At 34.2% G+C, this 15,455-nt stretch overlaps 1 protein-coding gene and 1 long non-coding RNA gene across 13 annotated transcripts in view; one reads left to right on the top strand and one right to left on the bottom strand.

Annotated features, from left to right (window-relative positions):
• PSMD14-DT (PSMD14 divergent transcript) overlaps window positions 1-5,859 on the top strand; it is a 31,386-nt gene extending 25,527 nt beyond the window's left edge. Inside the window, exon 4 of the long non-coding RNA NR_110593.1 lies at window positions 5,634-5,859. This is a non-coding gene — a long non-coding RNA (PSMD14 divergent transcript). The remainder of the gene's footprint in view (window positions 1-5,633) is intronic.
• TANK (TRAF family member associated NFKB activator) overlaps window positions 1-15,455 on the bottom strand; it is a 99,268-nt gene that overhangs the window by 7,114 nt on the left and 76,699 nt on the right. For all 12 annotated transcript variants that reach the window (XM_047441820.1, NM_004180.3, XM_047441804.1 and 9 more), the window contains 2 exons: window positions 5,126-5,202; window positions 4,371-4,486 (listed from right to left, as the gene is read on the bottom strand). In XM_047441820.1, coding sequence (XP_047297776.1) covers window positions 4,371-4,486; window positions 5,126-5,202 — 193 coding nt within the window. The remainder of the gene's footprint in view (window positions 1-4,370; window positions 4,487-5,125; window positions 5,203-15,455) is intronic.

The raw sequence follows: 15,455 nt of genomic DNA, 5'->3' as shown, positions 1-15,455 counted from the left end.
CTTGGACATAAGTTTCTCTGGATGACTCTCCCATGACTCTTGGATGCCCTGAGAACTGAAACACACTGTTATATAGTTATGTGTCACTTAACGACGGAACATTTTGAGAAATGCAGTCTTAGGCAATTTTGTCATTGTGCAAACATCATAGAGTGTACTTACAGAAAGCTAGACAGTATAGTCTACTACACACCTACATTATATGGTATAGCCTATTGTTCTTAGGCTACAAACCTATACAACATGTTACTGTACTGAATACTGCAGGTAACACAATGGTATGTGTGTATTTAAACACTGAAAAGGTACAGTAAAAATATGGCATAAAAGATAAAAAATGGGTATGCCTGTATAGAGCACTTACCGTGAATGGAATTTGCAGGACCGGAGGTTGCTCTGGGTGAGTCAGTGAGTTAATGGTGAGTGAATGTGAAGGCCTAGGATATTACTGTACATCACTGTAGACTTTATGAACACTATACACTTAGGTTACACTAAATTTACAAAAAAAACAAAATGTGCTACAATGTAACAACAGCTACCTACAATGTCACTAGGGTGATATTAACTTTTTTTTTTTTGAGACCGAGCTTCGCTCTTGTTGCCCAGGCTGGATAGAGTGCAATGGCATGATCTTGGCTCACCGCAACCTCTGCCTCCCAGGTTCAAGTGATTCTCCTGCCTCAGCCTCCCGAGTAGCTGGGATTACGGGCATGCGTCACCACGCCCGGCTAATTTTGTATTTTTAGTAGAGACGGGGTTTCTCCATGTTGGTCAGGGTGGTCTCGAACTCCCAACCTCAGGTGATCTGCCCAGCTCAGCCTCCCAAAGTGCTGGTATTACAGGCATGAGCCACTGTGCCTGGGCTGATATGAACTTTTAAGTACCATTATAATCTTATGGGGCCATCATTGTATATGCAATCTGTTGTTGACTGAAAATGTCATTTGGCACATGACTGTATTTCCAAGTATAACTCTGTTTCTTCCCACTAAAGTAGGTTTTTTGAGGTCTTAAACTGTTTTGTTTCCTTCTAACTCCAGACCCTTGCCCAGTGTCTGGCACATAGTATGCCCCTAACAAATGAATTCTGAATGAATCTGTAATCTCTCCCCTACAAAGCCTACTATAATAATCAACATTTACCAGATACTCTATGACTAGGAGTGCTATAGTAATTGTCACCAAGCTTAATTGTTTATCTGGATTTCTTTAGCCTCTGAGGTTCTTAAAGTCCATTAACTCTCGAGTAGTCATTTTCCCTGGCAGTAGACTTGAAAGTGGTAGGAAAGTCTAGGAAACAGTACTGTCTTTGTAGATGACATTTGCTACTTGCAAATAACAAATCAGGAAAACCAACTGTTGAGGTAATCAGATTCTGTAACACCCGAAGAGGAGAGACTTATCAAATGATCTTCACAAGGAGAACAAGGTGAATGCTGGAGAATCTGCTGCTGCTGCTGCTAATGGAAATGACTATTAACATTAATAGCACTTCCACATGGCATGTACTATTATAATAATTGTATGTACATTAATTCATATAATACTCAAAGTAATCCTGAGGCAGGCACTATTATTATCCCCACTTTACATGTGAAGAAACTGGTTGGAGAGGTTAATTCAAAGGCCACACAACTATTATAGTAAGTGGTAGATCTGCCACTGGAACCCAGGCAACCTAACTGTAGATTTGTGCTCTGAACCATTAGGCTAAATTGAACATGTTGGTTTCTATATATAGAGAGAAGTCCCCAAATTGACAGAAATGTGCTTTGAATTATTTTTCTAGCAGTTGATCTATCCCCGCTGTGAACAAAACGAGGAGAAATCAAACAGCTCTAAAAAAACAGATATTTTCTTTCAGCAAAGCTAGCTGGCATAAAACTCAGCCACATTAAAATAATCTGAGTTAATCTGCTCAAGCAGTGAGAGTTAATATCTATTAAAAAAATTTAAACCTTACATTCCTAATGCTACTAGAAATCTAAGCTGAGACAACTTAAAACTCAAATGAGATGCATGAAAGCACTTGTCATCCTGACACCATATTGAGAAACATGATCAGGTGAGCAAATAGCTTTTCTATTTTGTCTATTTTAAGACTACTTAGCTTTGCAAGGAAAAAGTAAAATGGGAAATATTTTTAGATTTCCCAGTTTTAAATACAGGCTATCCATTTAGTTACTTCTCAGTATAATCACGTTGTATATTGACAAAAGAAAAAGACCTCATGGTTGTTTATTACCCTTCTCATGGATGTTTGTTACCCTTAATCCTATATTCTTCCTTCCCAATCTCTACTGAAATTGGACACTCCTTTATGAACCAAACAGTACTTTATTTGAAGCTATGGATAAACATACATTTTATCTTTATCATTTCTTAAGTCTACTGCCATATGTAGATGAGTAGAAAAAACAAAGTAATAATAAATAGGAAATGTAGAATTCTACTAACTCAGTATTTTCAAATGAATCATATCTGGTTATTTAAAAGTAAAAATCAAATTTTAATACAAAATAACATAGGGACAATACACGTACTCTTCCCAGATATATTGTGCAAATCATATTCAAAATAGTTCTTCTATATTTTTATACAGTGTAGCATACATACTTGGAAACCCTGAATAGGCATCTTTTCAAAAAATATTTTTTCCTTTCTCCTTTTGATATACCACTGTCAGAGTATAATATTTATTTTGGTTTCTCTTTGGACCCCAGCAAAACTTCACTAGAGTCTGTAGCACAAAATATTTTGAGAATAATGTACTTATTATTTGTGACACTGTTAATATAAAGCATAAAAATAAGGCATCAGGAAGCAGTTTTAGTGGAGAAGAAATTGAAGTTAAATACTCAGTGTTCTAGCTGACAGACACATACTCAGATTTAGACCTGTGCAATTTAAAAATGGTCAAAGTATTAAGCCATTGATAATGAGATAAGTTTTCTGTGTAACAAAGAATATATCACCATTACAATGCCTTGAAAAGATGTTGATGTTCAAAAAAGCATGTTTATGAATTCTAGGTACTACATCTCCATAGCTAGCATATTTTAAACAGAAATAATTCATTTACTTCAGAGGTACCTAGTTATCTTTAGTCCATACAAAAGATCAATTTCTCATGAAAATGACAAAAATTAAGGTGAAGAAAAGAGTTGTTTTTGGGGAGGTGGGGGAAGGGAGAGAAAGAACCAAATTATGTCTGTCTACAAAGATTATTTTGTTTCTGTAATACCACATTGTGTAACTTTTCTGAAAATAAAATGGTAGTAGTAGCAAAAAGTGAATTTACACTATAAAATGATTTTAAATAGCCTAGATGTAAGAGCTGCAAGAAATGGAAAGTGATCTTTAATTAAAAGGGTGTTAGTCAGCAAGACTGCAACATCTCTCAGAGTGAAAACTGTAAATCACATCCTTTGGGAATTGTCTGCAGAATAGCTCAAATCACAAAGGTAAAGGAGAATTTATCATTATAAATGATCAGTTTACCTTCCTTTTGTTTGCAGAAGTGTTTGGTTGCCAGACCTAATCCCTTAGATTTTGCTATTCATATAGAACTACTGAAGCAAACACCAGGAAGCCAGTCTGGGGTTTTAGGAAAGGGTACAGCATTTACAAAACATACTATAACACATATGTAAAACAAATGTTCCTTCTAAATTATATTTTATACTAAATGTGTATTTTGTGCATTAAACACAACTAGCACTCAGGAAATTTGAGTGCCACGTTTTTATTCTTGAACCAAATGAGTTCAAAGAATTCTTGAGCCCAGGAGTTCAAGGCTGTAGTGCACCATCAGGCCTGTGAATAGCCACTGCACTCCAGTCTGGGCAACATAGCAAGATTCTGTATTGAATTAAAAAAAAAAGAACATTAAAAAAACATCTATCCATAGTGTATGTAATGCACTTTCAGGCAGAATTTACAAACAAACCTGATGTTATAATTTTACTTAGCTCATATAATATGGTAGTGTGGCTTCAAGGTCACTTATTAACATAAAAGTTAATGTTTAATAAGGTCCCCCAAAAAACAACTGAAAACTTTCAGGGATATAGTCTGTATTTATTTTGTATTTTTTTAAGGTGGGATGTCTCATTAAGATAATTAGTAATTATGTCTTTCAATTTAATCTATATAGTACCATATACAACAAAGAGAAAAAAACCAACAATTACACATGTAATACATTACAGAACTTACACAGCATGTACACATTCAAACATACGTGGATGAGGGGTAAATTACAGATGCTACACACTTAATAGGCATTCAGGAATATTTTCACATTCAAAAGGAAATCAATTTCAATCAAGCAAATCAATATTACTGTAAATTAAATTAAATCTTACCAGTTGCAGTGTCTGGTATATTAAGTTTGCTTAAGTGGTCTTTCTGTGCTTTTGCTAGCATGCATATTTTATGAAATTCTTCTTTCAGATCCCAGAAAGTCTTCTCTATATTACCCCTAAAAAAAAAAATCAACATTTTAAAATGTAAAGCTATAACTTCCAAGTTTTTTAAATAATCAAACTTATGTAGTACCATTTTATGTGCCACAAAATAATTATTTAAAAGTAAAAAAAAATTATTTTAAATTCCTAAACAATGTCCCCAAAATCAGCTTGTGTTTGTAGAGGGCCAGGCACAAAGTAAGTGATAAATTAAAAGTTTTAATACATAAATATAGTATAGTCTAGCATATCTACTTATTCATATATACACTAATGTTGGCTGTCTTATTCTCACATTAGAAATTTCAATGCATTGACTTTTGTTCTCTGCAAATATCTTAAATAGAATATTAAATATTCCTCATTTTGGTAAGGTTCACATTAGGAGCCATCCATATAAAGAAATACGACCTTAACACTTGGTCTATTGAAATAGTAGAGCTTTACAGAATTCAAGTTTTAGATTCAGCTCTGCTATTAACTGCATGACTTGTTTAGGTCATCTTTAACATGTAGGATTCTGGGGTTGGTCACTTCCACTTATTCTAAAAGGCTATTTTTTTTGCAATTGTTAAAGCTTAAAAAAAACAAATATAAAATATATTTCAGTATTGATAATTTTTAAGAGTTGAGAAAAAAGGATGTAGAACTACCTTTCATGGAGCAAAGGACTGCCAAGACTCCTTGCTGAAGTTTCTTTTCTAGGAGAAGAAACCTCTTGTCTTCTTACCTTAAACATACAAAATGATTACTATTACTACTTTAAATTGCTCCCAAATTCAAATGAGGTCGAGTAAAGAGAAAACACAAAGGAAATTTTATTTACCTTCCCTACTGAAAAATAACTTGAGACAGCTTATAGACCTATATGTAATATACAATTGATTTTTTTCTTTAAATGAGAAAAATCAAGGAAAAAGGAAAATGAAGAAGGAAAGTCTGAAGAGATGAAATATTTCTGGTAACTTCAATTACTATTTCCGGTACTGGTAATTCAAGAAATTTCTCAAATTCAACTATTGATCAAAATTGCTGCTCTGTTCACCAAGCACCTCATACGCTCAGAAACTTAGGGGGAAAAAAATCTATGTGTCTACTTCTTTTGATATTCAGTAAAAATGGCCTATATATTTAAATCAACGTGTTTGTCTTTTGTTATAGATTCTTTGCTGAAGAATGCAGCTGTATTAAAGGAAGAAAGAAAACCAAGCTACAGCTCCTTATAATTCAACAAGCATTTAAAAGATTTATAAAGATGGTGCAATTATGTATTTAAGCTGCTTCAACACAAGTTCTTGCCTTTCACTCCCACCCTGTGGCTTACACTGGTATTACATCTATTCTGACATTTAAAAATCAACATTAAAGAACATATTGTAATAATGTATTCTATGGTTTAAATATTTAAAAAATTTTACATCATACCTAGAAAGTGTTGTGTACTTTCTAAAGCTTATAAACTGAAAAGGATTTGAAGAATCCTAATACAGAATCATAAGTTATAATTCATCCAAAATTGTATAGTTCTTAAATTTCAAATCCAAACCAGTGGATATCTGTCTTTAGTGACATTTAGATTTTATTCAATTAAGGTCATTGTAGCTATTATAAATGGAAGATTTTACTTCATTGTGTCTTATCACTGAAGTACTTCACTCTTGCTTTTCAAAAGATTTCTTTCAATTTCTTCAGAGTCTTATTTGTTCTCTAAGACAAAGACTTGATTTCAGTTTGTTTTTCTTAAAATTAATATCTTCTCCAATTTATTTCCCAGTTTTTTCTAAATAAATACTTTAAATATATAGAGTATTATTTTTATAGTATCTCAGAATTAGTAAAATAAAATCTTGCCAATACAAACAATTTGTGATTTTATACATTATATTGTCAGACTGAAGTAAAATAAAGATTATTTTGTTGCTGCATATCATGTGTTTGACAAACATTCAGGTCATATATTCTTCTGGATTAAAACTGCTGTATTGAGCATTATAAGGCAGTCACATCAGAAGATATTTTCACATTCACAGTTTGTTTTTAAAAGTGGTAGACAAGGTTTTTCTATGGTGTTTTGTACAATTAGAACACTCAATGGATTTTAGTGTGGACTAGGAAGAAAGGCAACATTTTAAAGCTAGCCAGCCAGTCAGAACACTACAAATACGAAAACAAACTTTTAAAAGATTTTATTATTAAGTCTATATCAACAAAATCAGAGAAGAGGTATATTAAGAAAATACTTATATTTGATAATTTAATATGTCAAACAAATCATAAAATAAGTGATTATATATTAAATGGAATGACCTCCTTATAGTGAGCCAAGATTGTACCACTGCACTCCAGCCTGGGCGACAGAGCAAGACTGTCTCAAAACAACAAAAAACAAAACAAAAAAAAGAGTAATGCCCTGTAGTTTTAGCCTAAAACTGGAGATAGTTACAGAAAGTGGTAAAGATAGTGCTCCAAATTCCAAAGTCCTGACTTTGACATAAACTAGGAATGACTGCTTCTGAGATTAAAGAAGTATTAAAAAACTAATGGGGATGAAGAGGGCTGAAGGAAAAGATAGGAAAAAAATGACAAACCTTTGTCTCGCTTGGTAAATAATTGATGCTAACTTACTTCTGTGATGTTTGGATTTGATAACTAGTGTGGGTGAATTTATCAAGAAAAGATTCCTTTGGTGTATTGGCAGGAGGTAAAGGAGGACTCCTTAAGGAATTCCTATGACGTATCTAAACTAAGGTCTTCAGCTTCTTTGGGGTTAGAAACACAGCTCTGCTTACTATTATTTTTGTTTTTATTCTTATTGAAAAAAGTATTACTGGTTGTACTAGGCAATACACTGCACCTTTTATCATTCATGCCAAATAAAGCTGTTAGTATATTTCAAATGAAAATTCTGAGTTCCCGGTACCCAAGAAAAATCTTCAGAAAGGCACCTCTTAACATGTTACTTGGGGGAAAAAAAAAAAAAAAGTAAACGGTTTTCTGACAGACATTTTGAAGTCGGGTTTATTTAGAATGGGGCATAACATGTTAATGCTATTTTCCATTATAGCAGTCTGATACAACTTTCTGAAAACAATCATTAATTTTTCAAAGGATTTAGGATTAGTATAATCAATGGCAACTTCAACACTTTCCCAGAAACTCAGACTTTTTTGTCAATGCATTATCTTAATAAAGATTAATCAGTTTGTTGAGCATCTCAGAGAGTAAGATAACTTGTATTTTTCTTTCTATTCTCAAATATAATCCAAGTGGGCTCTGTACTGCAGGAAGATGAAGTTGTAACTTCAAATAAGAAAGCAAGGGAATTTTGAACATTATATTTTAGGAGATTTTAAGCATTAAATCATTCAAAAAATGAATTTATTTTGAGGTACTAAAACTTAAAATACTTAACATCATAAACTGTTCCAAGTACTAGTTTGGAAATGCTGAACTTGTGGAATGAATGCTGAAATAAGAGTTTTACACATCATACTTTTCATATACACTTCCAGTATGTCGCTGGGTAAGTCATTCAACTAAATCCATTAAGATAAACACATCTGAAACAGTTGGAAGATGTAAAATGTTTCCTTAAATTTCCTATGTGAATTGGGAGAATTTTGATTTAGTGTAAGTCAATTTAAGCTTCTCCCTAGATGGGTATTATATCAAAAATATATGTTCAAGGGACAGTTGAATATGCAGTGATATTTAAGGAGGAGAAAAAAAAGTGGTTAATATTTCATTAGTCCAAATCAGGCTTTATTATTGATGCAAAAATAATCAAAAATGTTTTTGTTTCCCATTCTAGGATATGTTAGATATCAACCTCTCAAAGAAAGAAATGTACATTTTCCTTAACACCTGCTTTTGTTATAGTTGATACTAAAAGTGAAATTATTTTATTCCTTTTATAAAAAATTGGAAAGATACAGAAAAGAAATAAAAATTGTCATTTGAAACCATATTTTTTCTTAAAAATTTTAAGCAATTAAAGTCAGCAAAATAAAATTGAGTTACAGAATTTTTTTTTCCTTTTTTGAGACAGAGTCTCGCTTTTGTTGTCCTGGCTGGAGTGCAGTGGCGTGATCTTGGCTCACTGCAACCTCCATCTCCTGGGTTCAAGCAATTCTCCTGCCTCAGCCTCCCAAGTAGCTGAGATTACAGGTGCTCGCCACCATGCCCGAGTAATTTTTGTATATTTAGTAGAGACAAGGTTTCAACATGTTGGTCAGGCTGGTTTCGAACTCCTGACCTCAGGCAATCTGCCCACCTCGGCCTCCGAAAGTGCTGGGATTACAGGCGTGAGCCACCGCGCCCAGCTGAGTTATGGAATTTTTAAAGATAATTCTGACTAAACTCTTTAACAAGATGTATATTCTCTCATATGTATGTAAGAAACCTAAACTTTAAAAGGCTTCTATTAAGTAAAGAAGGTTAGTTTTCAATGATACATATTTCACTTAACTCCAGTGTTCATATCAAAGACTCCCTTTAAACTTTAGTTACGATCCTTGCATGCAAAGGAATATTTATTTTTAGCTAGCTTAGGCAACTGAGTGTAGTCAATGTTTTATTTCGTTTCGGGATGAGGCTAAATAGAAATATGCTTTTAAAACAGAAACGAGAATCCTTACTTGGATCAATGTAAACCAAGAAGTAAGCCAAGGTGGGATGGGATGGATTGGTAGAGGGAATATAAACTATGGAATAGGTATAAATGTTAGCTTGATAAAATTCACTACAGAAAAAGGAAAAGTAAGTAGTAGGAAAAAAACTGAAAATAAAGATTCATTTGTCACTTAGATTTTTGAGAACTAAGAATGAAATGTTAAAGGAGGAACTGAGGTTGAATATTTCCTTACCAGTCTACATATACTGAGACAAAAGATGTTATAGTGAAGTCAAGCACTGGATACAGCTGAATCAGGGAGAAAGTGAAAAAAGGGCTGAGACAGAAAAAGATTAAGGTATAAAACAGGACCAAAAAAAAAATTACAAAAAGATATTTGATAAGAATAAACATAAAAGAATAGTACATAAAAGTTTGAGGATAAAAGATAAAAAAATAGAATATTGTATTTAATCTAAAAGAACTTACGGCCATATAAAATCTATGGTTCTCTCACCCTCATTAACATTCCTGAAAATCTAGCAAAGCAAGAGAAACACAAATCCTAGGAGCCTTGTCTGTTCTGTGTGATACAGTGTGCTAGGCAAACCCACTGCCAGTGTGGGAACAACTCCAGGGCAAAATGGGATCCATCCCAGAGTTCTGAAGGAAGTGGCAAGAAAATAAACAATATAAAAATAAAATTAAACACCCTAATTACTTCCAAGTTCTTTATTGGGTTGTGGTTTAACATAACCCATCCCCACAATCTCTACTGATTCAATGCTACAATAAAACATATTGTTCAGAAAAGGTAAAATCCTTTGCCAGTACTGCCACAATTACTGTAATTTCAATTCTATCAAAGTTAATTTGTAGAATGAGATGAATACTTTTCTACTATCTGTCTTCTAAGTCTTTCACTTTGTATTAGGTACCTTTTGCATATATCTTTCTGATTTCTTTAAAGGGAAGAAATATTTAATTGTGGACATGCTTTTTTAATGCAAAATAGAAACTGCATAACTTCAGTGAGCAATTTAATTAAGATTTCTCACACTCCTTTCACTCTTTCCCCAAACACTACATTTAAAATGAACTGATCTGTGCTGTGCATGGTGGTGTGCTCCTGTAATCCCAACTACTAGGGAGGCTGAGAGGGAGGAGTTTGAAACCAGCCTGGGCAACACAGCAAGAACTCATCTCAAAAAAGAAAAAATGAACTGATTTGGAAAAATCCTTTAACTACAAATTTAGTGTTATGCCACTACACCATGAAGAACAGAAGCTATCTTCTTGAAAATAGCTATTATTTAAGCAATTTGCATGTATTACTTATTTAACTGAAATCACAAAAGCTGCTTATTTTGAGATGGAGGTCTTGCAACGTTGAGCAGACTGGAGTCAAATTTCTGGACTCAAGCAGTCTTCCTGCTGCAGCCTCTGAAGTAGCTGGGACTACAGGTGCACGCCACTGCACCTGGCAAGCCACAAAATCTTCTGAATTACGTATTTAATTATGATTTTTAAATTTGCTTTGAAGAGATCAAATAATTTGTGTATAGTTTGGCAGGCGGAGTAGCTGTGATTGGAACACAAGCCTTTTTGCCCCAGTAGCTTTAACTACTTAGCCATAATGCTTGGCTGCTGGAGAAGCTAAGTGGTACAGTTATCCAGCATAGGGTTGGAGATAAAGAATGGTTACATTTACATATTGCACCAAGGCAAACTAATTTTAAGATTCTAAAATCTTCCTGTCATACAATAAAAAATATATTTATCACTGAGAAGCAGTTACAGGCCATGTTTTGATGCTTAAATATTGCCCAGGGTGGGAGGGGAAACCTTTGGTATAGCCTTTTTTTTGCTGCGTTCTCAAGGATGTATCGTACAAATAGAAATGTACATCCAAAAATAACTTAAGATAGATTTACTCAAGTTTTGCCAAACGAGTCACTTGTTAACATAGGCAATTTGGCAGTATTTTCTTTGACAAAATTTCATAGTATTTCTCAAACTTGGCATAGAAGTTAAGCATTTGACAAAGCATGACAATGGGTGGAGTACCCTACTGGTTAATTCTATCCTCTCTGGAAAGCTTAACTCCCTTCCTGCCTCCCCAGCTATCTTTTAATAAAAGACTGGGTATAGTTATAGCAGCTGATAAAGTCCTTGTCTGATAATTTCAGTGTCTGAATCATCTTAGGGTTGATGTCTGTTCTCTTATAACTGGGTCATATTTTCTGGGTTCTTTATATGTTGGGTGATTTTGGACCACATCCTGACCATACTCAGCCAGAAAAAAACCAAAAAACTAGACTTTAGGAGCTCAGATTCCATTGTGGAGGAGTGAGCACCTAACAAACCATTCTTCTGCAAATAACAGTTACAAACTTTGGACAACACACACACACACACACACACACACACACACACACACACACACAAACCAACTACCTGAAAACACTGAAGACTGAACTTTGCATATATTGGAGGAGAGTAAAAAATGTGTAGTAAGTAATTGGCTTAGAGTGCATTCCCAGTTTTCTATGGTTTTGTCCTGATGATGGCCACACTGCAGTAGAGGCACAGTAGTGGCTGAAATTCCAGTAACAAAGCCCACTAACATTCTGGCTGGAAGAACCAAGAAGGAGAATGAGATCATAACCATGGTCACCAGAGAGTGAAGGAAAGGAGCCCTAGAGAATTTGAGAACCTTAAATTCTGAGTTTAAATTCAGCCCAAGTCTCTGGCAGTCTCCAGGTTGTGCGAGGCTAAAAGCTTTGCAGCTAAAGCTCTAAGGATTGAATGGAGATTGGAGCTGCCCCTCTCCATAGGAGTGACACTTACCCTGAGCTAATCAAGTTCACTGCCTGTAAAAACAAAACTACCAATACCCTTCACCACTCTAGAAAACATTTTGTCTGTTTCTTAAAATAAACAAACAAAAAAACTCCAAACATGTAAGTACTATATGACCCAATGAATGCACTCCTGGGCACTTCAAAATTTATGTTCACACAGAAACCTGTATACAAATGTTTACAGCAGCATTCCGTCTATAAAGTAAGAAAAAGATAGGAAGCACTTTCTCCTCTGAAGCCATGATTATATCACCTAAAAACGGTTATGGTAAATGAAATGGCTCATTCAAAACTCTCAGTTTTAGCTTTCAGTTTACATAATGTTCTCCCAAGTGACCTAGAATAATTGTGGCTCTTGTCTAGAAATTATCCTTTTTCCATTAACATCTTGTAGAAAATTTAACTTTACGTATCTATGCACACATAACCAAGATAAAGGCAAATAAGAACTTGTCTTCTTTTCTGTTAGCATCAAAAAATCTTAGGGCAGGAGAAACCCTCAAGAAACTGAGGTTAGGCCTTTCCTGAGTAATAAAATTCCCAACTGGGGGCCTCACCAACTTTTTTTTTTTTTTTTTGGCCAAGAAAGAACTTAGTAAAAAATAAACTACCAAGACCTAGTATATTCTTCATGTCAAAGGGGAATGAACATTTATCAAAAAGAAAAAAAGTAGGAAGAAGAGTTTTAGATTCAGCTTTATCAAAAAATTATCACTTTATGCTTACGGCTCAGGATAAGATGAGAAGCAAGAGCTGAGGACAGAAGTGAGGAGTCTCAGGCTGCAGCACAGGTAAAAAAGAGAAAGCAGGAGAGAATGTTCAATTAGCAGAAGCAAGAAGGAAAGCAAGGAGATTCACTGTGGCCATTTGGCCGTCTAGCAGACATACGGTCCAGATGTAACTTCTAGAGAATACAGACAAGTCAGTGGCTCCCTATAATATTATTAAGATAAAATGTAGAGGGAAACATGCTGTCTTTAATGTTAAATAGTCAAGAGAAATTAGGAGCAGAAATAACAATGAGTAAATCCATTAAATATGGAATTACTTAGAGGAAACTAAGCTTAAATGCAAAAATCACACTACTATTGACAAACATAACAGGAAAGAGACAATAAAAGATGCTCGTCTTAGAATTATTTGTTTCCAAAAGGGACTTATCAGGGAGGGAGACAAAAACCACAGGTTAATGACAATGCAGAATGTGTGGAAACTGCTATACAATAGTTTTATTAGGATTCTAAGATATATAGCTTAGAGCATAAGTATATAGAAAGATGACTAACTGGCAAAGAAAAAAAATCTTTCAGGAAATAAATCAGCTTTCGTAACATAGCAAGACACTGCTTAACCAAGCAGCAGAGAAGCTCAGAGTGTATAGGTGCAAATGAAAAATTAGGTGACTCTTCCCCCTCCTCTACCCTCAAAATCTAGCAGTATCTTAGAAGGAACTAAGAATCCAGTTAGAGGATGTTAAAATACAATACTGGGAAGAGTGTTAGCTGAAGATCCTGTACTTAAACAAAGCTAAGTGGTTTTCTTAGTATTGATTTCAGATCCCAGATACAGTCTTGCGCCTTTAAAAATTAAAAAAACAGAGTACCTAGTATGCAGCACTTCATAGTCCTAGGGTTTTATGGAACATACTAGAAAATGCAGGTATCTACTATCAAACTATCTTTTAACAAATTAGAGTCAAAATTCAGAGTCTGCTCTAGACTTAATATAGATTAATTTACAAGCATCACGATTTAAAGTATGAAGATATAAGACAATTGATTATCCAATGTATGTGAAAAGAACTGATGAGGAAGCATTAGGACCTCCATGTACAAATAAAGGTTCCTGAGGAGATGCTGGAATATTCTTAGAACATGACATTTTTTCAGGAGGATGAAAAGTAACTTACTAAGAAAAAGGCAATATGATTTTTTTCTAACAGGAAATTATAATCTGGTTAAACCAGTGGTTCTCAAAATATGGTCCAGGATCCTTAAAGGTCCCAAGAGCCTTTCAAGGGATCCACTGTTGGGAGAGGTAATCTGCCATGGCCCCTGAGCATCCTGGCACATTTTTGCTGTTCATGTCAGGAATACAAGAATCTCACTGTTCTTTACCGGAGCCTTTTCTTAGGCTTGTGTTTGCAGAGCAAATTTGAAAGACTAGGTAATGTCTCCCTCTTGGACAAAGAGCAGGCATGCTTACTGCCTGCTATAAAATGGTGGGTTCCCCAAGCTCAATATGCCTCTCCTTTAATGTAACCATTGCATGTATAAGCATCATCTGTGTCTGTGTTACCTCCTAGGCAGGACCAATGAAAATAAGATGTTCTTCGCTACTAACTTTACTGTAAATAATAAAGTCCTTTTTCTCTGATTCACTTTTCTGTTTTCCTCCAGTACCCACCCATGAAACAGTAACTAACTTATTAGCTTGTAAGTAGAATAAAATGAAATCCCAGAGCCTGACATAATTGAAATCAACTATTGTCACAATTAAGATATTATTAATATTTGCATTTTTTACTGTGTTGGCATTTAGACTGATGATGCAAAAACAATGAATAAAACTGCTGGTGCCCGAGTATGACTAAGGCCATATCAAACTGTTGTCACTGTATTCTTTAATGTCACACACTCAGTTAAAAAAAAAAAACCAGCAAAAAAAGGCAGTTTCAACTAAGAATGTCCTTAATAAGGCAGTAAAAGTGATTACTTTTATTGAAACTTGATCTCAACATATTTTTAATATTTTGTGTGACAAAATGGGAAGTATACACAAAAGGACTTCTGCTGCATACTGAAGTACAATTATTGTCTTGGGGAAAAGTACTTGTGCAACTATTTGAGTTGCAAGTAAACTGGTTACTTTTCTAATGGAATGCCATTTTTGCTTGAAAGAATGACTGACACACAAGCTATGGTTATTCAGACATTTTCTCAAAAGCAAATGAAGTTAGCCTGTCATGTTAAGGAAAGCAACAGACAAGATTTGTTGCCAATGATAAAATTTGAGCTTTCAAGTGAAAATTAAAATTTTGGAAGACCTGTACCTGTCACAGTAAGCTTGACAGATGCCCAATACTTGAAAGATTTTTCTGATGCAATCAGTGATGATGTTAAATGTGATTTAAAAATATTATATAATAGGTCAACATTTGCAAGATCTACATAACTTAGTGAACCAATATTTTCCAAATGATTGATTCATGATGTTACAGAATCATACATTAGTAAAAGACATACTCAAAGTACAAGATAGACCAACAGCTTTTAATGTAGCAGAAAAGTTCATTGATACGCTTTCAGATTCCATATTGCAGCTAACATTTTAAGACACTACCAAGTTTTAGTGCAGTATCAAAGACTATCCACAATCGCTAAAAAAGCTATTAAAATACTCTTCCCCTTTTCAAATACAATATCTATTTGAGGCTGAATTTTCATCATACAATTCAACCAAAAAAAAAAAAAATAACAGCAGGTTGAATGTAGAAGCATTTCATAA

The sequence above is a fragment of the Homo sapiens genome, chromosome 2, assembly GCF_000001405.40.
Source record: "Homo sapiens chromosome 2, GRCh38.p14 Primary Assembly".
Classification (NCBI taxonomy): domain Eukaryota; kingdom Metazoa; phylum Chordata; class Mammalia; order Primates; family Hominidae; genus Homo; species Homo sapiens.
The sequence above is the reverse complement of the archived record's forward strand: the minus strand, read 5'-3'. Positions and strand labels throughout refer to the sequence as shown.